The sequence below is a fragment of the Homo sapiens genome, chromosome 3, assembly GCF_000001405.40.
Source record: "Homo sapiens chromosome 3, GRCh38.p14 Primary Assembly".
In the NCBI taxonomy this organism is placed as follows: domain Eukaryota; kingdom Metazoa; phylum Chordata; class Mammalia; order Primates; family Hominidae; genus Homo; species Homo sapiens.
Genome location: NC_000003.12, coordinates 49,385,020 through 49,410,860, shown reverse-complemented (window position 1 = coordinate 49,410,860; position 25,841 = coordinate 49,385,020). Strand labels below are relative to the sequence as shown.

Genomic DNA, 25,841 nt, shown 5'->3' with positions numbered 1-25,841 from the left:
TGTTGTTGACTTGTTTGGTTCTGTCTTGAAGAAAGTCTTAAACGTTTCTTGCAGGTGTGTAAGTAGATATTTCACTCTGCCTTTCTGAAGGAGAAAAATTGAAAAACCAAAAAACTTCCATAATTTAAAATGTTGTATGTGGAGAGAATTTTTCAACCACTTAGTATCACCCAGATGTGTAATGTGTACCATGCGGATGATTGTCACCTTAGATGTGGCTAGATTGGCGGAGATACTGTTTTGAGCATTTGGCACAAGTGACATTGGACTGAAAAACTAGTTTTTAATTGTAAAGAATGACTTATTGAAGGATCTCTGGATAACTTGTCTTAATTGGTTCCATCTACTTTTGTGGAGCACTGATGGCTCTTGGGGACATTAAATATATAAGGTGCACCTTGGTTTGAGTTAAAGTCTAGTGCTAGATTTATCCTCTCTGTTCTCATAAAAATCTGTGTTGGAGGGAAGAAGAGAGTAGGAATACTGTGTAGTTCTTGAGTTTTAGATCTAAGAGGAATCTTTCAGGACTGGTTGTCCAACCCCATTTGCAGATGAGCAAACTGAGTCCCAGAGACTTAAGTAAATTTCCCAAGGTTACCTATCTAGTCAGGAGCAGACCAGAACTGTCTGCTCTGTTAAGGTATTCTCCATTTACTCCCAAGCAGTTGGCCTCCAGAGTCAGCTAAAATTCAGGACTTCTAGCTTATTCCATTGTTTCTTCTTTTAAACCTTGTTGATGGTGAATAGTTTGGGAGAAACTGTTCATTTGCCAAAAAATTTCGGTTCATTAGCTTACACAGCACTCTCCCCTTGTTAACTGGATGGTCCTGCCTTCAATTGAGGGAGATAGATGAATGTACGAGGGTCCCTGGTTGGCCTAATCATGGCTTTGTTTGGATTTTTTTTTAAGGGACCAACTTCTAGAGCAAGGCCTACACTTTACTGCTTCAAAACCAAGATATTTAGGTCAGGCTAAGATATTTTTAGTTAACTGTGGGCACTTTTGACTGTTGATTTGGGGTACTGCGTGTATCAAGTAAACAATTCCCTGTGCACATGCATGTGGTGGTGGTGGAGTATTTTCGTAGTCCTGATTTCTTTCCATTTGTCAGTTAACTGCTTTTTAAAAGTTTATTCTGGTCATATGGGGGTGTAAGTTATTAGGAGAGTAAAAACAGGTAGCTCTTCAGGTGTTTCTTGTCCATGGGGTGGAGTCCATGCAGTGACTGGAGAAGGTGCTAGTTTGCGTCTTTTTAATTGTCTTAGAGAGCTGAGAGATATATGTTAACTCTGAGAAGAAAGACTGATCAGCTTCTAAGAGAGCTAATTTGAAGCTGCTGGCCTTCTGTAGACAGCACCTTGGGTTTAATTGCATTGTGGTTACTAGTGATTATGATAAATAGTACATAGTCACTGGATTTTAAAATTGGCCATATAGTTGTAGTTTTATATTTATTTTTATTTTTGAAATGGAGTCTCACTCTGTTGCCCAGGCTGGAGTGCAGTGGCGCGATCTCAGCTCACTGCACCGTCTGCCTCCTGGGTTCAAGTGATTCTCCTGCCTCGGCCCCTGGAGTAGCTGGGACTACAGGCACCCACCACCATTCCTGGCTAACTTTTGTATTTTTAGTAGAGATGGGGTTTCACCGTGTTGGCCAGGCTGGTCTTGAACTCCTGACCTCAGGTGATCCGCCTGCCTTGGCCTCCCAAAGTGCTGGGATTACAAGGGTGAGCCACCACGCCCACCCATATTTGTAGTTTTAAAAGGATCCTGGCAGGGCGCGGTGGTTCATGCCTGTAATCCCAGCACTTTGGGAGGCCGAGGCGGGCGGATCACGAGGTCTGGAGACCATCCTGGCTAACACGGTGAAACCCCGTCTCTACTAAAAATACAAAAAAAATTAGCTGGGTGTGGTGGCGGGCGCCTGTAGTCCCAGCTGCTCTGGAGGCTGAGGCAGGGGAATGGCGTGAACCCGAGAGGCGGAGCTTGCCGTGAGCTGAGATCGCGCCACTGTGCTCCAGCCAGGGCAACAGAGCGAGACTCCGTCTCAAAAAAAAAAAAAAAGGATCTTAAGTATTTTGTCTGACTCTGCCATTTAGTTTATTCCTTTGTTTACCTGCCCAATGGAACTGTTTGCTTGTAACTACACATTAATATAACTAAATTTTGAACTTAATGTTACATGCCTTGCTATACATGGGGCTCTTTGGGGACATGCTCATTTGTGGGATTAAAATTTCCAAGACGGTTTGAAGTTTGTAATTACTATAAAATCCCTCATCTTTAATCTGTGGAGCTGTAGTATTAAGTGAAGGCCTTGGTATGTTCATAATTACGATAGTCATGTGACTGAAAATCAGGCACTGAAGCTGCTCGTTCTGGGTGTTGGTCTCAGTTTATTGATGCTTCATCCAAATACATTTTTATAGCTAATAATAAAGAAAAACATCAAATACTCTTGCTAAATTGCAATCAGTATGCAGTTTATGCCAAACTTAGCTTGATTTTATTTTTTGAAGAGGATGAGTATGTATATTTAAGCATATGTGTGTGTGTGTATATGTATATATACTTGTGTATACGTATATACGTGTATACGTATATATATGTGTACATATACGTGTATACGTATATATATGTGTACATATACGTGTGTGTATGTGTGTGTGTATATATATATATTTTTTTTTTTTTCTCTTTTGAGACTGAGTCTCACTCTGTCGTCCGGGCCAGAGTGCAGTAGCGCCATCTCGGCTCACTGCAACCGCCGCCTCCTAGTTCAAGTGATTCTTGTGCCTCGGCCTCTGGAGTAGTTGGGAGTACCAGCATGCGCCACTGTGCTCAGCTAATTTTTGTATTTTTAGTAGAGACGGGGTTTCACCATGTTGGTCAGGCTGTTCTCGAACTCCTGGCCTTGTGATCTGCCCCCCTTGGCCTCTGAAAGTGTTGAGATTGCAGGTGAGAGCCACTATGTCTGGCCATATTTAAGCATATTTATGATAGTATCTTAAATTTAAGTGAAGGGAAAGAGGAAAACATACACAGCCAATGAAGTAAGTTTGAAGTGGAGTGAAAGGAAAAGTTGGAGGTAAAAAGAGGTTAGAGAGGTGGGCAGGGGCCAAATCATATAGGGCCTTTAGGACATGGGAAATTCTTTGGATTTGTTCTGAGATTAGAAGTCATTTAGATATTCTTTAGAAAGGGAATGACATGATCTGATATTAAAAAAAAAACTAGAATCACTGTGAGTAGGAGTAGATCTAATTCCATTCTGACTAAATAGTAAACTAATATGATAATTTGGACAAATATAAAAAGGAATTCCTGGCTGGGAGCAGTGGCTGATGCCTGTAATCCCAGCACTTTGGAAGTGCTGGGCAGGTGGATCACTTGAGGTCAGGAGTTTGAGACCAGCCTGGCCACATGGTGAAACCCTGTCTCTACTAAAAATACAAAACATTAGCTGGGCGTGGCAGCAGGCGCCTATAATCCCGGCTATTCAGGAGGCTGAGATAGGAGAATCACTTTAACCTGGGAGGCGGAGGTTGCTGTGAGCAGAGATCGAGCCATTGCACTCCAGCCTGGGAGACGGTGCAAGACTCAAAAAAAAAAAAAAAAAAAAAAAAACGGAAAGGATTTCATAATATTAATTTCCTTGACTTAGTGACTTCTGCCTATTTTATTTGAAGTCATTGGTTCTTCTCTTCTCTTCTCTTGAGACAGGGTCTCACTGTCACCCAGGCTGGAGTGCAGTGAGTGATCTTTGTTCACTTCAACCTTTGTTTCCCAGGTTCAAGCGATTCTCGTGCCTCAGTCTCTAGAGTAGCTGGGACTACAGGTGTGTGTGTGTGACCATGCCCGACTAATTTTTGTATTTTTAGTAAAGACGGGATCTCACCATGTTGGCCAGGATGGCCTTGATCTCTTGACCTCGTGACCCCGTGACCCACCCACCTTGGCCTCCCAAGGTGTTGGGATTACAAGCATGAGCCACTAAGGATTTGTTTTTAAAATTTTTTTGCTTTATTTTTTTCTTCTCTTTTTTTGTACTAGAGATGGTGTCTTGCTATGTTGCCCAGACAGATCTTGTACTCCTGGGCTCAAGTTGTCCTCCTGCCTCAGCCTCCCAAAGTGCTGGGATTAAAGATGTGAGTCAAGCGATTCTCGTGCCTCAACCTACCCACTAGCTCGATTACAGGTGCCATCCACCACCTGCCCACCACCCTTGGCTAATTTTTGTATTTTGTATTTTAGTAGAGACAAGAATTTTACCATGTCGGCCAGGCTGGTCTCAAATTCCTGACCTCAGGCAATCCACCCGCCTCAGCTTCCTGCTGGGATTACGGGCGTGAGCTACCCTGGCCAAGATTTTTAATTTCTGAAGCTTATAGCTGCTCTAAAGCACAAGGATTCAGTCCCATGATTTAAAAAAGTTGCTTGTTTTGACTTCAAGTATATGGTTGAGCATTCTAACTTTTGTTATGTATACATTTTTATTTTACTGTATTCTTCTAGCCATTGTATCCTAGTCTGTATGTTGCAGATGAGTTGTGATTCTCTGGTGTCTCTTCCATGGACCTAGAGATCATATGCTCTACTACTGGGATTTTTTTTTGTAACTTTGTTTGGGATATAGGCTTTGAGAGGTTAAGGAAGTAAATTTAAGATGGATATTTAATGTTGTAACACTTTGTTAATGCTTTTTTCTACAAGATAATTTTATTATGTGATATGGCAGCTTTGTTGGAAATACCTGTTTTTTTGTGTGTGTGGAAAATTTCTTTTCTGGATGAAATCTCTTGTTTAACTTTTCCAGTTATTCATAATGAAGCTCTGTTTATCTTTTGAAGATCTTAAGTTCAGAAACAGAAGGCAGGCTGCGTATGGTGGCTCATGCCAGTTATCCCAGCACTTTGGGAGGCCGAGGTGGGTGGGTCACCTGAGGTCAGGAGTTCGAAACCAGTCTGACCAACATGGTGAAACCCCATCTCTACTAAAAATACAAAAATCAGCCGAGTGTATTAGTGAGTGCCTGTAATCCCAGCTACTCGGAAGGCTGAAGCAGGAGAATCCCTCGAACTTGAGAGGCGCAGGTTGCAGTGAGCCAAGATTGCTGCACTCCAGCCCGGGCAACAGAGCGAAACTCCGTCTCAAACATACACACAAAAAAAAGAAGGAAAGAAAAGGCAGTAGAGTATCTTATTTAAGAGCATGGATTCTGGAGAGAAACTGACAGTTAAATACTAGCTCTGACACTTGATGGCTTGAGACCCTTGGCAGTAGTATGTCTCCTTTGTAATTCAGTTTTTTTCTTCTGTAGAAAGGGAATGGTAAGGAAGCGCCATGAGATTTCAGTGAGAGAGAAGCACTTACCTCAAGTGCCAGACATGTAGCCCTTCAACTAACTTATTTTATTTATTTATTTTTTGAGATGGAGTTTTGCTCTTGTTGCCCAGGCTGGAGTGCAATGGCGTGATCCCAGCTCACTGCAACCTCCACCTCCTGGATTCAAGTGATTCTCCTGCCTCAGCCTCCCCATTAGTTGGGGTTTACAGGCATGTCACCATGCCCAGCTAATTTTTTTTTTTTTTTTTTTTTTTTTGAGACACAGTCTCGCTCTGTCACCCAGGCTGGAGTGCAGTGGCGCGATCTCGGCTCACTGCAACCTCCGCCCTCCGAGTTCAAGCAGTTCTCCTTCCTCAGCCTCCTGAGTAGCTGAGACTACAGGTGCCCGCCACCACGCCCGGCTAGGTGTTTTTTTTTTTTGTATTTTTAGTAGAGACAGGGTTTTACCGTGTTAGCCAGGATGGTCCCGATCTCCTGACCTCAGGTGATCTGCCTGCCTCCGCCTCCCAAAGTGTTGGGATTATAGGTGTGAGCCACCGCGCCTGGCCTACTTTTTTTATTATTTTTTTTTTTGGAGACAAGAGTCTCGCTCTGTCGCCCAGGCTGGAGTGCAGTGGCGTGATCTCGGCTCACTGCAAACTCTGCCTCCCGGGTTCATGCGGTTCTCCTGCCTTAGCCTCCCAGGTAAACTGGGACTACAGGTGCATGCTGCCACGCCTGGCTAATTTTTTTTTTTTTTTGTATTTTAGTAGAGACGGGGTTTAACCATGTTGCCCAGGCTGGTCTCCATCTCCTGAGCTCAGGCAATCTGCCTGCCTTGGCCTCCCAAAGTGCTAGGATTACAGCCGTGAGCCACCGTGCCTGGCCTTCTGGCCTTTTTTTTTTTTTTTTTTTTTTTTTTTGAGACGGAGTCTTGCTCTGTTGTCTAAGCTGGAGTGTAGTGGCACAATCTCGGCTCACTGCAATCTCTGCCTACCAGGGTGCAAGCGATTCTCCTGCCTCAGCCTCCCAAGTAGCTGGGACTACAGGTGCGTGCCACCATGCCCGGCTAATTTTGTGTGTGTGTGTGTGTGTGTGTGTTTTACTAGAGACGGGGTTTTACTTTGTTGGCCAGGCTGGTCTTGAACTCCTGACCTTGTGATCCACCTGCCTTGGCTTCCCAAAGTACTGGGATTACGGGTGTGAGCCACTGCGCCTGGCTTTTTTTTGGAGAGATAAGGTCTTGTTTTGTCATCTAGGCTGGAGTGCAGTGGCACAGTCATAGCTCATGGTGGCCTCCAACTTTTGGTGTCAAGGTATCCTTACGCCTCGTCCTCCCTAGTAGCTGGGACTACAGGTGTATGTGCCACTGCGCCCAGCTAATATTTTTACATTTTGTAGAGATGGAGTCTTGCTGTCTTGCCCAGGTTGGGTCTCAGACTCCTGGGCTCAAACAGTCCTCCCACCTCAGACTCCCAAAGTGCTGCAAGTACGGGCATGAGCCACTGAGTCCAGCTATCTTCAACTTTCACTATTCAGGTTACAGTTTGTAGTACCTTTTTTCGGGGGTGGTGGGAGGGTAGTGGGAGTAGCACCCTAAGATTTCTTGGAATAAAACAGGGCTTACTACTTGGTTCCTGGTACTTAAGAACAGTGGTTCCTAGACTCCACTGTTCCCAAACTTGGAATCCAGTTCCCCAAATTGGAATCACCTGAGGTTTAATTACCTTCATGGAGGTTTAATTTGCATACAATAAAATGCACATACTTTAAATGATAGTTTGATAATTTTTTTGTTCTTATTTTTTTTAGACATAGGGCCTTGTTCTGTCACCCAGCTGAAGTGCAGTGTCGGAATCATGGCTTACTACATCCTCGACCTCCTAGGCCCAAGAATTCTCTGCTTTAGCCTCCCGAGTAGCTGGGACTGCAGGTGTGCACCACCACGCCTGGCTACATTTTTATTTTGTAATTTTTTTTTTTGTAGAGAGAGGGGTCTCACTATGTGCTCAGACTGGTCTTGAACTCCTGGCCTTAAGTGATTCTCTCGTCTCAACCTCACAAAGCCCTGGGATTATAGGCATGAGCCACCACAAACCGCCAGTTTGATAAATTTTGATGAATGTGTATACCCAAGTAATTGCCACTCAGTCGAGTTAAAGAGCATTTCCTCAAGGCTTTAAATTTTTATTTTTATTTTTGAGACGGAGTCTTATTCTGTCATCTAGGAGTGCAGTGCCGCAATCTTGGCTCACTGCAGCCTCTGCCTCCCGGGTTCAAGTGATTCCCCTGCCTCAGCCTCCTGAGTAGCTGGGACTACAGGTGCGTGCCACCACACCCAGCTAACTTTTTGTATTTTTAGTAGAGATGGGGTTTCACTCTGTTAGCCAGGATGGTCTCGATCTGATCTTGTGATCCGCCTGCCTCTGCTTCCCAAAGTGTTGGGATTACAGGCGTGAGCCACCGCGCTCGGCGGGTTTCTTTTTTTTTTTTTTTATGAGATGGAATCTCGCTCTGTTGCCCAGGCTGCAGTGCAGTGGCACGATCTCAACTCACTGCAACCTCCGCCTCTCGGGTTCAAGCGATTCTTCTGCTTCAGCCTCCCGAGTAGCTGGAACTACAGGCACCCGCCACCACGCCCGGCTAATTTTTTGTGTTTTTAGTGGATACGGGGTTTCGCCATGTTGGCCAGGCTGGTCTCAAAGGCCTGACCTTGTGATCCTCCTGCCTCGGTCTCCCAAAGTGCTGGAATTACAGGTGTGAGCCACTGCTCCTGGCCTAAAGTTTTTTAGACTAGTTTTTTTGTTCATTCGTTTTATTTGCTTGGCTTCCTAGAATATGACAAGTTTTGGTTTGTTTTTGAGACAGAGTCTTGATCTGTTTCCCAGGCTGGAGTGCAGTGGTGCTATCGTGGCTCACTGCAGCCTCTAACTCTTGTGCCCAAGTAATACTCCTGCCTCAGCCTCATGAGCATCTGGGACTACAGGCAAGCACCACCATACCTAGTTAATTAATTTAATTTTTATAGAGATGACGTTTTGCCATGTTGTCCAGGCTGGTCTCTAACTCCTGAGCTCTGGCCTCGCAAAGTGGTGGGATTATAGGTGTGAACCACTGCACCCGGCCTAGTTTTTTATTTTAAGAAATATATATACTTGGTAAAAGTAAACTCCTGCAATAAGGTTTACAATAAGCATATATAAATTCTTAGCCAGCTCACTGGGAGGTACCTAATGGTTCATTTTTCTTTGTCAGTTTTACTAGATACGCATTGTCTTAGAGGCAATGTAAGTTTGGAATTAGGCCAAACAAAGTCAAATCCTGATTCTGTGCATCCATTGAAGGTTAACCTTATAATATTTACATTTTGAGATAAATGATTTCATGCTCTTATTTAGGAAACTTGACGGTATGTTACCTCAGGGATTGTTCCTTGCCTGTCTTTCCCCAAAGAACTTGAGTTTGAAGTGATTTTCACTTGGCAGTAAATTGAAGGTTTTCTTCATTGCTTACCACCATGTGCCTTATTCCTGCTGCTCTTGATCTCCAAGTGCCCTTACTGCTACAGAAAGGAAAGCTCTTGAACTAAGAGCTTGGCAGCCACTTGATCAGGATGGCCAAATAATGGCAGTACAGGTTGAGCATCTGAAATGCTTCAAGATGGGCGCTGGCATGACATTCAAAGGAAATGCCTAGTGGTGCCTTTCAGACTTTCAATTTTTGGATTTGGGATACTGAACCAGTAAGTATAATGCAGATATTCCAAAATCTGAAGAAATTCTGAAATCTGAAACACTTCTGGGCCCAAGCATTTTGGATAAGCAGTACTCAACCTATACCAGGCTCAAGTTCATTATGGACAGATGGATGGATGGTAGTTTGGCCCTTTCATCAGGAATTTCCCATGCAGTCAGTAAACAAAATAAACAGCTCTATGTTTTCAACTTCATTTCCCCAATTTTTTTTTTTTTTTTTTGAGACAGAGTTTCATTCTTGTCGCCCAGGCTGGAGTGCAGTGGCCCGATCTCCACTCACTGCAACCTTTGCCTCCCAGAGGTTTCGCCATGTTGCCCAGGCTGGTGTCAAACTCTTGGGCTCAAGTGATCCATCCGCCATGGCCTCCCAAAGTGCTGGGATTATAGGCATAAGCTACCTTGCCTGTCCGTTTTCATATTTTTTTGAGAGATGAGGTCTCACTGTATTGCCCAGACTGGTCTCCACCTCTTGGCTTCAAGCAGTCCTCCTGCCTCCCAAAGTGCTGGGATTGCAGTTGTGAGCCACCACACCTGGTCAGGAGTTTTACATACTATGCGTTGTTACTTGTAGGTCTTGTTTGGAAAGAAGTAACTTCCTAAGGTCAATTCAGAAAAGAAGGGTAGTAACTTAGAGGAAGTAAATTTGAAGGCCCTAGTGTCTAATATTAGTAATTTGGGCTTTTGAAAGTTTCCTTTCTAAAAGGTAGGAAATTAACTCTTTTTTTTTTTTTTTTTTTTGAGACGGAGTCTCTGTCGCCCAGGCTGGAGTGCAGTGGTGCAATCTCAGCTCACTGCAAGTTCTGCCTCCCGGGTTCACGCCATTCTCCTGCCTCAGCCTCCCGAATAGCTGGGACTACAGGCGCCCGCCACTATGCCCGGCTAATTTTTTTGTATTTTTAGTAGAGACGGGATTTCACCGTGTTAGCCAGGATGGTCTTGATCTCCTGACCTCGTGATCCGCCCGCCTCGGCCTCCCAAAGTGCTGGAATTACAGGCGTGAGCCACCGTGCCCGGCTGGAAATTAACCCTTTTATATACCATCCCCCCACCTCACCTTTTTGGCTACAATCTTGCTCTGTCACCCAGGCTGGAGTGCAGTGGCATGATCATAGCTCACTGCAGCCTTGAACTCCTGGGCTCAAGGGATCCAGCTACCTCAGCCTCCTGAGTAGCTAGGATTACAGACGCATGGCACCAAGTCCTGATACAGTCTTCTCTGTACCAGAACAAAGTATTCAGTGATTCAAGCTCACATAGGCATGAAACAGCACTGAAAGACGAAGTGCTGTAGGAGTTCAGGGATAAAGAAGAATTTAGAGTAGCCAGGAAGCCACTGAGGCCTCTGGTGGTGAGGGTGTAACTCTTGGCCTTTAAAATGAGGTTTAGGGGAAATGTTATGAGTAGTGGGAATCAACCCTTGGCCTGAACACAGATAATCTTGTTTTATCTCCTTATAGAAACAGGAGGTGGTGGGGGGTGGCCAGTTTTGGTTAGACTAGGGAAGATGTTGGGGGAGAGGGGGGCAGTATGCTTCTGTAGTTTCGTTTTTTTTGTTTTTTTTTTTTTTTGAGATGGAGTCTCGCTCTGTCACCCAGGCTGGAGTGCAGTGGCGCGGTCTCGGCTCACTGCAAGCTCCGCCTCCCGGGTTCAAGCGATTCTCCTGCCTCAGCCTCCCGAGTAGCTGGGATTACAAGCACGTGCCACCATGCCCAGCTAATTTTTTTGTATTTTTAGTAGAGACGGGTTTCACCTTGTTGGTCAGGCTGGTCTCGAACTCCTGATTCGCCCACCTCGGCCTCCCAACGTGCTGGGATTACAGGCGTGAGCCACCGTGCCCAGCCGTTTCTGTAGTTTCTTGAGTTCAGATTCCAAGATGGATTTTTGCATATGTATTGCTTTATTTCTTACCCCCTTGATGTAATCTACTATATAAATCTTTTAAAGTCCCTACATTTAAAAATTTATCTTGTTCGAAAACATAATAGTTTTATTTGGTAAATTCAAACAGTGCAAAAGGATATATGGCCCCTAGAGGTACCTGTTGTGTTTCTTGTAGACCAGTGCATGTAATCCCAGCACTTGGGGCAGCTGAGGGGAGCCCAGGAGTTCTAGGCCGCAGTGAGTCATGATCACTCCACTGCACTCCAGCACTGCAGCCTGAGTGACAAAGCAAGACCCTTTCTGGGGGAAAAAAAAAAAAAAGCTCCTGTGTACTATTCTAGAGACAGTCTATACATATACCAGTGTCTATTGGTGAATATTGTACACCTCTGTCAAGCCCTGTTTTGTATATCTATGTATCCCGCCATTACACTATGGTATGATAGCATATGACATATTTGGCACATCACTTTTTTCATTTAATAATCTTGTCTCAGAGATCATTTGTTAACACACTTTTTTTTTTTTTGAGACAGAGTCTCGCTCTGTCGCCCAGGCTGCAGTGCAGTGGTGCGATCTCGGCTCACTGCAAGCTCCGCCTCCCAGGTTCACGTCATTCTCTTGCCTCAGCCTCCCGAGTAGCTGGGACTACAGGTGCCCGCCGCCACGCCCAGCTAAGTTTTTGTAGTTTTTAGTAGAGACGGGGTTTCACTGTGTCAGCCAGGGTGGTCTTGATCTCCTGACCTCGTGATCTGCCTGCCTCGGCCTCCCAGAGTGCTGGGATTACAGGCATGAGCCACCGTGCCCAGCCTTTTTTTTTTTTTTTTTTTTTTTTTTTTTTTTTGAGACGGAGTCTTGCTCTGTCACGCAGGCTGGAGTGCAGTGGCACAGTCTCAGCTAACTGCAACCTCTGCCTCCCGAGGCAGCAATTCTCCTGTCTCAGTCTCCCAAATAACTGGGATTACAGGCGTGAGCCACCAGTATTAAAGCCCTGTAATAATACTGTAATACTCAGACAGCAAAATTCTTTTTTTTTTTTTTTTTTTTTTTTTTTTTTTTGAGACGGAGTCTCGCTGTGTCGCTCAGGCTGGAGTGCAGTGGCATAATCTCGGCTCACTGCAAGCTCTGCCTCCCGGGTTCACGCCGTTCTCCTGCCTCAGCCTCCAGAGTAGCTAGGACTACAGGTGCCCGCCACCACGACCAGCTAATTTTTTGTATTTCTTTTTTTTTTTCTTTTAGTAGAGACGGGGTTTCATGGTGTTTTAGCCAGGATGGTCTCGATCTCCTGACCTCGTGATCCACCCGCCTTGGCCTCCCAAAGTGCTGGGATTACAGGCGTGAGCCACCGCGCCCTGCCAGCAAAATTCTTTAAGCCCCCACTGGGGCTTAACATCTATTGATGCTACTGCCTACCCTTTCACTGCTCCTTACCTTTAGTTTATCACTGTAATTACCCCCTTTTATGTATTCTCCATTTCTTGTTCTGTCTCTCATTTTATGTTACCTGGCAAAATCTCAGCCCTGGTTTAGATCTTACTTTTTTTTTTTGACAAAGTCTTGCTCTGTTACCCAGGGTGGAGTGCAGTGGTGCGATCTCAAGGCTCACAGCAACCTCCGCCTTCTGGGTTCAAGCAATTCTCGTGTCTCAGCCTCCTGAGTAGATGGGACCACAGGAGCGCGCCACCACACTTGGCTACTTTAGTAGAGATGGGGTTTCACCGTGTTGGCCGGGGTGGTCTCAAACTCCTGACCTCAAGTGATCTGCCCACCTCAGCCTCCCAAAGTGCTGGGACTATAGGTGTGAGCCACCACGCCTAGCCTAAATCCTACTCTTTACCTATTCTGTGCTTTTGACTGAATGTAGCGAAAGAAAAAATTCACTGACTTGTCTCTCTTTGAACTCATGGACCCTTGACCTCAAAGGTGGCTGCTTTTAGCACTGCCTAGCAGTCCCGCTAAGATTCCTTAGTCCGTTTATTCTCCTGCTTTTAGGATAATATAGCACCATGTCCTTTGGCTCAAATCTCCTGTTCCCTTTCCTTGCCTCTATCAGCTGTTATGATCTTGCTTCTTACTTATTTTTCTATTCCTGTGGATCAGTCCCTTGGGAGTCCATTGTTCTATCTAAGGTCAGCCCTTCCACTTGCAAGCGAAATCTCGTTCCCCTCTAATCTCGTAATGTTGCTCTAGCAGTTCTCTGCTCTCCTGCATCATCATTTTCTGCATACAGTCTGTTGGTCAGATCTTAATACCCCACCTAGCTGCAGTGAATGCTGGGAAATGTAGTCTTTATAACTGGCAGCCATGTGACTATGAAGGGGAAAGCTATTGAGGCAGATAAGCAGGCAGTCTCTGCCATACTTTCAACGCTTATTTTTTTTAAAAAAACAAAAACCAACTCTTTTGGTAACAATTTTACTGAGATATAATTCATATATCACACCATTCATTTGAAATGAACAGTTTGGTGGGTTTTAGTATATTCACAGAGTTTTACGTGTATCACTACAGTCAATTTTAGAACATTATTATCACCTCAAAAAGAAACCCTATGTTCTTCAACTGTCATCTTCAATCTCCCTATCACCACGCCCAGCCTTAGGTAACCACTAATCTACTTTGTGTCTCTATAGATTTGCCTATTCTGGATATTTCGTGTAATGGAATCATATATTGTCTTTTGTGACTGGCTTCTTTCATTTATGCAATGTTTTAAAGGTTCATCCATGTTGTAACATTTATTTTCTGACTTTTTTTTTTTTTTTTTTTGAGACAGGATTTTGCTCTGTCACCCAGGCTGGAGTGCAGTGTCTCGATCACTACTCACTGCCACTTTGCCCTCCTGGGCCCAAGCGATCCTGCCACCTCAGCCTGCAGAGTAGGTGGGACCACAGGTATATGCTACCACGCCTGGGTAATATTTTTATTTTTTGTAGAGACAAGCTCTCACCATGTTGACCAGGCCAGTCTTGAACTCCTGGGCTCAAGTGATCCTCCCACCTCAGCCTCCCAAAGTGCTGGGATTATAGGCATGAGCCACCAAGCCCAGGCTGACTACTTTAAAAAAATTTTTTTTAGTAAAGATGTGGTCTCACTATGTTGCCCGGGCTGGTGTTGAACTCGTGCTTAAGCAGTTCTCCCACCTCAGCCTCCCAGAGTGCTGATAACTGCACCCGGCCTGACTTTTTTTGTGTGTGATGTTTTGCTCTTGTTGCCCAGTCTGGAGAGCAGTGGTACGATTTTGGCTCACTGACACCTCCACCTCCCAGGTTCAAGCGATTCTCCTGCCTCAGCCTCCCGAGTAGCTGGGATTACAGACGTGTGCCATCATGTCCGGCTAATTTTTGTATTTTTAGTAGAGGTAAGGTTTCACTATGTTGGCCAGGCTGGTCTCGAACTGCTGACCTCGTGATCCGCCCACCTTGGCTTCCAAAGTACTGGGATTACAGGTGCGAGCCACCGCGCCCAACTAATTTTTTGTATTTTTAGTAGAGTCAGGGTCTCACCATGTTGGCCAGGCTGGTCTCTAACTCCTGATCTCAAATGATCCATCCTCCTCAGCCTCCCAAAGTGCTGGGATTACAGGCGTGAGCCACCAGGCCTGGCCCCGGGCTGACTTCTTGAAAGAACATTTTCCACCACATATCTCAGTGCCCACGTTTTCTCAATTCACTGCCATCTACTCTTGCCTGTGGCTATATGAAAAGGTTTTCTCCTGTTGCTGGACACCTCCTCATAGACCTGTGTTCTTTTTGCAAGCATGTAGTTTGGACTCTTTTCTTGTAATGTGTTCTTCCTTTTTTCTTGGTGTTCATTATCATCATACCTTTTTGAGCATTTCAGTTATTTCTGGCTTCTTCATGACCACCACTTCCTTTGTGTTGGTGGCACTCTTTGGCTAGATCACTGCCCCTCTCCATTCCATACACTGGAAGACTATGCTGTTTTTACCTGTAATAACAGCTTACCTGGGCACTGATATTTTTCAGCTGACTGTGGGGAAATGTTTGTGAGGTTTGGAAAACGCCTCCTTAGATTGTGCCCATTCCACCTCCCCTTCCATTAGGGTTCTTTCTTTTGGGCACCCTCATACCCTTGCCATAGTTTTCTCATCCCTATCCAGTTAACCACTCAATCACTTTTCGTGCCCTGCCAAGGCTCTGTTTCTTCCTCTTCTTTTTTTTTGGAGACAGAGTCTCGCTCTGTTGCCCAGGCTAGAGTGCAGTGGTGTGATCTTGGCTCACTGCAACCTCCGCCTCCTGGGTTCAAGCGATTCTCCTACCTCAGCCTCCCGAGTAGCTGAAATTATAGGCGCCCACCACCACGCCTGGCTAATTTTTGTATTTTTAGTAGAGATGGGGTTTCACCATGTTGGCTAGGCTGGTCTTGAACTCCTGACCTCAGGTGATCTGCACCCCTCTCAGTCTCCCAAAGTGCCGGGATTACAGGTGTGAACAGCCGTGCCCGGCCAGGCTTTGTTTCTCTATTAATTACAGACCTGATTGTGCTGGTCCAGTGGCTTTCCCTTCCTTACAGAATAGAATGCAGATTGCTCTGCATGACATACCATATCCTCTGGTCTAACCATCGCCCCATCTTTCCACCCTTATTTTCAAAAATCTCCTTTCTGAATTCTTTTTTTTTTTTTGAGACGGAGTCTTGCACTGTCGTCCAGGCTGGAGTGCCGTGGTGCGATCTCGGCTCACTGCAAGCTCCGCCTCCCGGGTTCACGTCATTCTCCTGCCTCAGCCTCCCGAGTAGCTGGGACTACAGGTGCCTGCCACCACACCCGGCTGTTTTTTTTTGTATTTTTAGTAGAGACATGATTTCACCGTGTTAGCCAAGATGGTCTCGATCTCCTGACCTCGTGATCTGCCCGCCTCGGCCTCCCAAAGTGCTGGGATTACAAGCGTGAGCCACCGCGCCCGACCGCCAAATTCTTGTGTTACTGGTCATTGAGGTTATTTGCTCAAGCTGTTTCCTCACCTTAGAAAGTATTCCTGAACCATCGTTACCGCTCTTTCCAGGGGACTTGTCCTCCTTCTTCAAGGTCCATCCAGGTCAGATATCATCTTATCTGAAGCTCTCTGGCAGAATCACTTGCCTTTTCTCTGAGTTCATACCAGAGAAGATAAGCTTTTGTTACAGCACTTAATTACATTGTGCTGTTTTCCCTGAGTGTTTTCCAGATAAAGCTGTATCTCTAGTAGCTAGAACAAGGAATGGCCCATAGAAGACAGTGGTTTGTGGCCGGATGCAGTGGCTCACGCCTGAAATCCCAGCATTTTGGGAGGCCGAGGCAGGTAGATCACTTGAGGTGAAGAGTTTGAGACCAGTTTGGCCAATATGGTCAAACCCCATCTCTACTAAAATTACAAAAATTAGCTGGGCATGGTTGTGCGCACCTGTAATTCTAGTTACTCATGAGGCTGATGCAGGAGAATTGGTGGAACCCGGGAGGTGGAGGTTGCATTGAGCCAAGATCATGCCACTGCACTTCAGCCTGGGCAACAGAGAGAGACTCTATCTCAGAAAAACAAAAACAAAAAAGTGGTTTGTATGAGACCAGTCGGGGCAATAAGAATTGAGACAAGGAGCTGGATGCAGTGGCTCACGCCTGTAATCCTAGCACTTCGGGAGGCTGAGGCAGGCAGATCGCGAGGTCAGGAGTTCGAGACCAGCCTGACCAACATGGTGAATCCCTGTCTCTACTAAAAATACAAAAATTAGGCCGGGGGCGGTGGCTCACACCTGTAATCCCAGCACTTTGGGAGGCTGAGGCAGGCAGATCACGAGGTCAGGAGATTGAGACCATCCTGGCTAACACGGTGAAACCCTGTCTCTAATAAAAAATAAAAAAATTAGCCAGGCGTGTTGGCGGGTGCCTGTAGTCCTAGCTACTTGGGAGGCTGAGGCAGGAGAATGGCGTGAACCCGGGAGGTGGAGCTTGCAGTGAGCCGAGATCATGCCACAGCACTCCAGCCTGGGCAACAGAGGAGACTCCATCTCAAAAAAAAAAAAATTAGCCAGGCGTAGTGGTGCATGCCTGTAATCCCAGCTACTCAGGAGGCTGAGACAGGAGAACTGCTTGAACCCGGGAGGCGGAGGTTGCAGTGAGCCGAGATTGCACCACTGCACTCCAGCCTGGGCGACAGAGCGAGATTCTGTCACACACACACACACACACACACACACACACACACACACACACACACACACACAGAGAGAGAATTTGAGACAAGGGACCTGTGGTCCTAACTGTTCTTGAGGCTGAGCCTCTTAAAAAAAAAAAAAAAAAAAAAAGCCAGTGCAGTGGCCTACACCTGTAATCTGAGCACTTTGGGAGGCCAAGGCAGGTAGATCGCTTGATCCCAGGAGTTGGAGACCCGTCTGGCCCATATGATGGAACCCCATCTCTACAGCAATTAGCCAAACGTGGTGGTGTGTGCCTGTGGTCTCAGCTACTTGGGATACTGAGGTGGGAGAACTGATTGAGCCTGGGAGGTTGAGGCTGCAGTGAGCCATAATTACGTCACTGCACTCCAGTCTGGGTGACAGAGGCAGACCCTCTCTGGAAAAAAAAGTTGACACAAGGCCACTGGGCCTGGCAAGGAGAAGATCACCATTATACTGCAGTAGTAGGTGGCAGAGTGACTAAGAAGGAAGCGTAAAAGATGGATGGGAGCACTTAGAATTTATCTTTAAAATACCTGATTTTTTTATTTTTTGAGACAGAGTCTTGCTCTGTTGCCGAGGCTGGAGTGGCGCGATCTTGGCTCACTGCAGCCTCCGCCTCCCAGGTTCCAGCGATTCTCCTGCCTCAGCCTCTCAGGTAGCTGGGATTACAGGCACGCTCACCATGCCTGGGTAATTTTTGTATTTTTAGTAGAGACGGGGTTTGACCATGTTGGCCAGGCTGGTCTTGAACTCCTGACCTCAGCTGATCTACCCCCCTTGACCTCCCAAAGTGCTAGGATTACAGAAGTGAGCCATCACGCCTGGCCTCTAAAAGACCTGATGTTTGTGGTGACCATTTTCTGGAAAAATTTGTGACATTAAATTGTGGATATGTCTTCTTTGACCAATCCAGCAGCTGTGGGAGACATGTTTAGAACAGCGTTGTCTTTCTGTGATGGTGGACGTGCTGTATATCTGCACTGTCCAGTACCATAGCTCCCAGCCACATGTGGCTATTGAGCATTGAATATGGTCAGTGTGGCCAAGGAACTGAATTTGAAAATGAAAAATTTTAGGCCAAGTGCAGTAGTTCACACCTGTAATCCCAGCACTTGTGGAAGGCTGAGGCAGGCAGATGACTTGAGCTCAGGAGTTTGAGACCAGTCTGGGTAACATGGCAAGACCTGTCTTTTATTCAATACTTTAAAATTTTTACTTACTTGATAAAAAGGAAGAATATTTTAAAATTTAAACATCAGTTTTTTGTTGTTCTTGTTTTTGACACAGGGACTCACTCTGGCACCCAGGCTGGAGAGCAATGGTATGATCATGGCTCACTGTAGACTTTACCTACTGGCTGAAGCTGTCCTCTCACCTCAGTTTCCCACCCTTACCCACCCAGTAGCTGGGATTACAGACACTCACCAACACGCCTGGCTAATTTTTATTATTTGTAGAAATGAGGTCTCACTGTATTGCCCAGGCTGGTCTCGAGCTCCTGGCCTCAGACATCCTGGGATTACAGGTGGGAGTCACTGTGCCTGACCAGCATTGTTTTTTTGTTTTTGTTTGTTTTTTTAAAGATAAATTAATTGGCCATGTGTGGTGGCTCACGCCTGTAATCCCAGCACTTTGCGGGGGCTGAGGCTGGTGGATCACTTGAGATAGGAGTTCGAGACCAGCCTGGCCAATAAGGCAAAACCCTGTCTCTACTAAAAATACGGAAATGAGCCGAACATAGTGGTGGATGCCTATAATCCCAGCTACTTGGGAGGCTGAGGCGGGAGAATCACTTGAACCTGGGAGGCAGGATTGTAGTGAGCTGAGATCGTGCCATTACACTCCAGTCTGGGGGACAAGATCGAAACGCTGTCTCAAAAAAAAAAAAAAAAAAAAAAGATAAATTAATTAGGCCGGGCACAGTGGCTCACGCCTGTAATCCCAGCACTTTGGGAGGCTGAGGTGGGCGGATCACCTGAGGTTGGGAAGTTCAGACCAGCCTGACCAACATGGAGAAACCCCGTCTCTACTAAAAATACAAAATTACCCGGGCATGGTGGTGCATGCCTGTAATCCCAGCTACCGGGGAGGCGGAGGTTGTAGTGAGTTGAGATCGCGCCATTGCACTCCAGCCTGGGCAACAAGAGCGAAACTCTGTCTTAAAAAAAGAAAGTCACAATGTGGCTAGTAGCTACCACGTTGGGCAGTGAAGCTGTGACATTACCAGTTGTAGGATTGAATGCAATCCAGACTTTTTGTCTGTTGTGTTCACACTTGAAGCAGTGACTCTGCTGCCTAAGTATGTATAATTTTTACTTTTTTTTTTTTTTTTGACGGATTCTCACTCTGTCGCTCAAGTTGGAGTGCAGTGGTGTGATCTTGGCTCACTGCAGCCTCTGTCTCCTGGGTTCAACTGATCTTCCTGCCTCAGCCTCCCTAGTAGCTGGAACTACACGTGTGTACTACCACACCTGGCTAATTTTTGTATTTCTTTTTTTTTTTTTTTGAGACGGCGTTGCTCTGTCACCCAGACTGGAGTGCAGTGGTGCGATCTCGGCTCACTGCAACCTCTGCCTCCCGGGTACAAGCGGTTCTCCTGCCTCATCCTCCCAAGTAGCTGGGACTACAGGTGCATGCCACCACGCCTGGCTAGTTTTTTGTATTTTTAGTAGAGACGGGGTTTCACCGTGTTAGCCAGGGTGGTCTCGATCTCCTGACCTCGTGATCCTCCTGCCTCAGCCTCCCAAAGTGCTGGGATTACAGGCATGAGCCACTGCATCCAGCCTAATTTTTGTATTTTTAGTAGAGACGGGGTTTCACCACGTTGGCCAGGCTGGTCTCGAACTCCTGACCTCAAGTAATCTGCCCGCCTCAGCTTCCCAGAATGCTGAGATTATAGGGGAGAGCCACCACACCTGGCCCCGTACTCTTTTATATTAATATCCATGACGCCTTTTACCTTTTCTGAAATAGATTTTTTCAGTTTCTCTACTGTCACTCTATCAAAATTTGTAAATTTTCCTTGGAATATTAGACAGAGGATTAAGCCACGTGTTTTTCCAGTCCAACTTTTGTTACATCTGTATTTTCCTTTTACATGTTGACTGGTTCAAACTGGCTAGCATCCCAAGTAAGGTGTGAATTAAATCCTGACATGGGGCTGGGCGTGGTGGCTCATACCTGTAATACCAGCACTTTGAGAGGCCAAGGCAGGCGAATTACCTGTGGTCAGGAGTTCAAGACTAGTCTGGCCAACATGGTGAACCCGTCTCTACAAAAAATACAAAAATTAAGGCTGGGTGCAGTGGCTCACGCCTGTAATCCCAGCATTTTGGGAGGCCGAGGCAGGTGGATCACAAGGTCAGGAGTTCAAGACCAGCCTGGCCAAGATGTTCCCCGTCTCTACTAAAACTACAAAAATTAGCTGGGCGTGGTGGCGGGTGCCTGTAGTCCCAGCTACTCAGAAGGCTGGGACACAAGAATCGCTTGAACCCGGGAGGTGGAGGCTGCAGTGAGCTGAGATTGTGCCACTGCATTCCAGCCTGGGTGACAGAGTGAGACTCCATCTTAAAGAAAAAAAAAAAATTCCTGACAACGGACTGTCAAAGCTATTTGCTTCTCACAGTCTGTGGGTATTATAGATGGACGGGGACCCGCCAATAAAGGAGGGGAAGGCTCCTTTTGTGAAACTGATTTGCTTCTGTCTTCTAAATCAGTATGTGTACTTGGGCCTACTAATCAAGTCTTACTGTTTTGTCTGTAACTTTTTTTTTTTTTTTTTTTTTGAGGTGGAGTCTCACTCTGTTGCCCAGGCTGGAGTGCAGTGGCACCATCTCGGCTCACTGCAAGCTCCACCTCCTGGGTTCATGCCATTTTTCTGCCTCAGCCTCCCAAGTAGCTGGGACTACAGGCACCTGCCACCACGCCCGGCTAATTTTTTGTGTGTGTGGTAGAGACTGGGATTCACTGTGTTAGGATGGTGTCAATATCCTGACCTCGTGATCCGCCTGCCTCGGCCTCCCAAAGTGCTGGGATTACAGGCGTAAGCCACCGCGCCCGGCTTCTGTAACTTTTATTTATTGTAAGTTGTTAGCTATTGGAATTCTGGACAGAACAGAGCTCCTGAGTCTGTTCACTGCTGTAAGAAGTAAGAAGTGTCATGACTCTTTTTCAGCAGAGGAATTAGTCTATTAATGACATGTGGCTGGAAATAGACCTGCCGCTCAGAACCTGTTCTGGAGTTAAGTCCTTCCAAGATGGGCCTAGGGAATCTGAGAAGCACAGCAGGTTCCTCTCAGCAAGTGCTGCTGAACCCCAAACTAAGCTCACACATTCTTCTTGGGTTCTGCCTGGAGAGTCCCTATTAGCCTCATCCCTAAGCAACCACTATGCTCCTTTTTTTTTTTGGAGATGGAGTCTCGCTTTGTCGCCCAGGCTGGAGCGCAATGTCACAATCTTCACTCACTGCAAGCTCAGCCCCCCGAGTAGCTGGGATTACAGGTGGACGCCACCAGGCCTGGCTGATTTTTTTTTTTGTATTTTTGTAGAGATGGGGTTTCACCAGGTTGGCCAGGTTGGTCTTGAACTCCTGACTTCAGGTGTTCCACCCGCCTCGGCCTCCCAAAGTGCTGGGATTACAGGCGTGAGCTACCACGCCCAGCAGCTGCTTTCTGTCTCTGTAGATTTACCTATTCTGGATATTTCATACAAATATGGTATGAAACATGTGGTTCTTTGTGACTGGTTTCTTTTACTGAGCATAGTATTTTCAAGATTCATCCATGTTGTAGCATGTTTCAGTACAGTACTGTACTTCGTTCCTTATTGTTGCTGAGTAGTACTCCACTGTATGGCTATAACACATGGTTAGATATGTAGCTTAGATAGGATTGTTTTGTTAATTAAAAGCTAATGAACAAAGATTTCAAAGTGTGAGATATTAGTCATTAGTAGGCTGGCCATTGAACAGCTCCACATTTCAAAATGTGAGATACTAAATTAGTTATTAGTGGGCTGGCCCATTGAACAGCTCCAGAAGGCCTTCAGGAAGTTGTCCAGACAAATGTGAGTAAGCATCATGGTCACACAAATGTGAGAAAATTACCAAAGACTGCTATGTGAAATGCGGAGAGTTGCTCATTAATGCATGGTTTTAATTTACCTACTGAAGCATAGTCAGTAGCCACTGTAGCATCTGAAGAACATATGATGGACACACCACTCCCACACTCAGCACCCAGATAAGCAAGGCAGGCAGCAATGCAGATGAGCTATAGTTATCCCAGGAAATCACTTTGACTTGTAAAGTGTGAAAAGGACTGGCCTTCACCTATCATTCTTTCTATAGCAGAGCTCCCTAAAGCTCAGAAAGCCACAGCTGGCTGGATGTCATGGCTCCACCTATTATAATCCCACCACTTTGGAAGACAGAGGCGGGTGGGTCACTTAAGCCCAGGAGTTCATCACTGAGCCCAGGAGTTTGAGACCAGCCTGGGCAACATGGCAAAACCCCGTCTCCACACACACACCCACACAAATAGAAAAAAATTTAGTCGGGAATGGTGGCACACACCTATAGTCCCAGCTACTCGGGAAGCTGAGGTGGGAGGGTCACCTGAGCCCAGGAGTTTGACGCTGCAGTGAGCCTTGATGACAGCACTGCACTCCAGCCTGGGCAACAGAGTGAGACCTTGTCTCCAGGAAAAAAAAAAAAAGAGAAAGCCATCCCCTTCCTTGACATCATCTGTAATGAGTAAACAGACATTAAAACAGTAAGAGTAAACAGGTGTAAGACATGCTAGAACCAAAGAACCAAGAGTTGATGATTTCAGAGTGACTCAAACATATGTGACATTGTTATTATTTCTTCCTCTGGTGTGTACAGAAAAAAGATACACACATCTAAAAGAAATGTATGCAAAAACATCATAAAAGCATAGAAAACAAACATAATAGGGTTTTTTTTTTTGTTTTTTTTTTTTGAGACCTGGAGTCTCGCTCTGTCCCCCGGGCTGGGGTGCAGTGGTGTGATCTCACTGCAACCTCTGCTCCCGGGTTCACACCATTCTCCTACCTCAGCCTCCTGAGTAGCTGGAACTACAGGTGCCCGCCACCACGCCTGGCTAATTTTTTTTGTATTTTTAGTAGAGACGGGGTTTCACCGTGTTAGCCAGGATGGTCTCTATGCTGACCTCGTGATCTGCCCACCTTGGGCCTCCCAAAGTGCTGGGATTACAGGCATGAGCCACCGCGCCCGACCCTTTTTTTTTTTTTCCCCCGAGATGGAGTCTCGCTCTGTCACCTAGGCTGGAGTGCAATGGCACGATCTCGGCTCATTGCAACCTCTGCTTCTCAGGTTCAAGCAATTTTCCTGCCTCAGCCTCCCAAGTAGCTGGGACTACAGGTGCGTGCCACCATGCCTGGCTAATTTTTTGTATTTTTAGTAGAGATGGGGTTTCACCATATTAGCCAGGATGGTCTCAATTTCCTGACCTCATGATCCGCCCGCCTCGGCCTCCCAAAGTGCTGGGATTACAGGTGTGAGCCACCACGCCCGGCCTGTTTTTTTTTTTTTTTTTTTTTTTTTTTTTTTTTTTTTTTTTTTGAGACGGAGTTTCTCTCTTGTTGCCCAGGCTGGAGTGGAATGGCGTGATCTCGGCTCACTGCAACCTCCGCCTCCCAGGTTCAAGCGGTTCTCCTGCCTCAGCCTCCTGAGTAGCTGGGATTACAGGCACCCGCCACCATGCCTGGCTAATTTTTTTTTGTATTTTTAGTAGAGACGGGATTTTGCCATGTTGGCCAGACTGGTCTCGATTTCCTGACGTCAGGTGATCCATTTGCCTCGGCCTCCCAAAGTGCTGGGATTACAGGCGTGAGCTGCCACGCCCGGTCATGTAACAGTTTTAAAAAGCCCATACGGTCATACTGAATATAGACATAGACAGAGTTAATCAAATACATCAGAGACTGAGTTTGTGAAGTTAAGGAAAAATATTCAAACTAGTTAATCGCCCTAAGTTGCATATTAATTAATCGAGTCTTTCAGTGTCACCAAGGTTTGCCTGAGTAGGCAAAGGAGAATAATACGCTAAAGCTGTAGAATCACTTCTCTTGACACGGGGAAGGAAGGAGGGTAAGACAGTGGAATGTTTAGAAATGTGTACTCTGAAACGGATTGCTTAATTTACTTCAGTGTCCAATTCTGCCTCTTACTGGCTAGCAGTGCGACTGACGTTGAACAAATTAGCCTTTCCATACTCAGTTTCTTCATTTGTAAATGAGAGTATTAGAACTTACAGGAGGACTGTTGCGAGGATTGTTTGTTTAAAGTTTATAACTGCATTATTTGTTAGCTGTTTCTTATATTTTTCCTCTTCTACAAAGTAGTGGTGGGAGACAAGGCTTCCCTACATTTAGTTTGATGCCTGTGGTTCTAAGTATAAGGAGAAAACGGAAGGGAGGAAAGAGGAAGTAAAAAAATGAAAGATGACCTAAATAAATGGAAAGGCGTCCATGTTCATATGTCAGAAGACTTAACATTGTAAAGATGACAGTACTCCCCAAATCGATCTGTAGATTCAGTGTAATTCCTATCAAAATTCCAGCTGGCTTTTTTGCAGAAATTGACAAACTGTTACTAAAATACATACCAAAATTCAGGGGACCCAGAATAACCAAAATAATCTTGGAAAAAAACAAAGCTGGAGGACTCACACCTCCAGATTTTAAAACTTACTGCAAAGCAACAGTAATCAAGACTGTGGTACTAGTATAAAGGTGGACAATATAGACCAATGGAATAGGATTAATCCAAAGTAAACCCTCAGTTGCTAATTAGTTGATTTCTCAAGTGTGCCAGGACCATCCAGTTGGGGGGAAAATAGTCTTTTCAGTAAATAATGCTGAGGTGACTAGATTTCCAAATGAAAAAGAATGAAGTTGGACCCCTTACCTCATATCATGTATGAAAATTAACTCAAAATGAATCAAAGGCCTAAAGTGTAAGACTTAAAACTATAGAAAGAAGCATATATATTTTTTTTACGACCTTGAATTTGGCTGTGGTATTTTAGATATGCCACCAAACCATCAGTAACCAAAGGGAAAAATAGATAAATTTGACTTCAACAAAATAAAAAACGTTGTGCCCCAAAGGGCATCATCAAAAAAATAAAAAAAACAACTGAGTTTAAAAATGGGCAATGGGGGCTGGGTGCGGTGGCTCATTGCTGTAATCCTAGCACTTTGGGAGGCCGAGGCAAGTGGATCACCTGAGGTCAGGAGTTTGAGACCAGCCTGGTCAACATGGTAAAACCCCGTCTCTACTAAAAATAAAAAAATTAGCCAGGCGTGGTGGCAGACGCCTCCCAGCTATTTGGGAGGCTGAGGCAGGAGAATTGCTTGAACCTGGGAGGCGGAGGTTGCAGTGAGCCAAGATCGCGCCACTGCACTCCAGCCTGGGCGACAGAGTAAGACTCTGTCTCAGAAAAAAAAAAAAAAAGGTAGGGGGGCAATGGACCAGGCGCAGTGGCTCACCCCTGTAGTCCCAACACTTAGGGAGCCAACACGGGAGAATCACTTGAGGCTAGGAGTTTGAGACTAGCCAGGGCAACACAGCAAGACCCTGTCTCTACATAAAAGATAATTAAATTTGTTTTTCCCCCGAGACAGTCTTGCTGTCACCCAGACTGGAGTGCAGTGGT

At 45.7% G+C, this 25,841-nt stretch overlaps 1 protein-coding gene across 7 annotated transcripts in view, besides 3 other annotated features; it reads left to right on the top strand.

Moving 5' to 3' along the window:
• RHOA (ras homolog family member A) overlaps positions 1-25,841 on the top strand; it is a 52,832-nt gene that overhangs the window by 1,116 nt on the left and 25,875 nt on the right. The window contains exon 2 of one of the 7 annotated variants that reach the window (NM_001313941.2): positions 4,055-4,149. The exons of the other annotated variants lie outside the window; for them this stretch is intronic. The gene's annotated coding sequence lies outside the window, so the exon portion shown is untranslated. The remainder of the gene's footprint in view (positions 1-4,054; positions 4,150-25,841) is intronic. 7 annotated transcript variants of the gene reach the window in all.
• Positions 21,360-22,129: an enhancer, noted in NCBI's record as "H3K27ac-H3K4me1 hESC enhancer chr3:49426165-49426934 (GRCh37/hg19 assembly coordinates)". NCBI's record gives its function as "activates a minimal SCP1, AML or CMV promoter by ChIP-STARR-seq in primed H9 embryonic stem cells {active_cell/tissue: H9 hESC(primed)}" and the evidence as "EXISTENCE:reporter gene assay evidence [ECO:0000049][PMID:30033119]".
• Positions 23,340-23,893: an enhancer, noted in NCBI's record as "H3K27ac-H3K4me1 hESC enhancer chr3:49424401-49424954 (GRCh37/hg19 assembly coordinates)". NCBI's record gives its function as "activates a minimal SCP1, AML or CMV promoter by ChIP-STARR-seq in primed H9 embryonic stem cells {active_cell/tissue: H9 hESC(primed)}" and the evidence as "EXISTENCE:reporter gene assay evidence [ECO:0000049][PMID:30033119]".
• Positions 23,894-24,448: an enhancer, noted in NCBI's record as "H3K27ac-H3K4me1 hESC enhancer chr3:49423846-49424400 (GRCh37/hg19 assembly coordinates)". NCBI's record gives its function as "activates a minimal SCP1, AML or CMV promoter by ChIP-STARR-seq in primed H9 embryonic stem cells {active_cell/tissue: H9 hESC(primed)}" and the evidence as "EXISTENCE:reporter gene assay evidence [ECO:0000049][PMID:30033119]".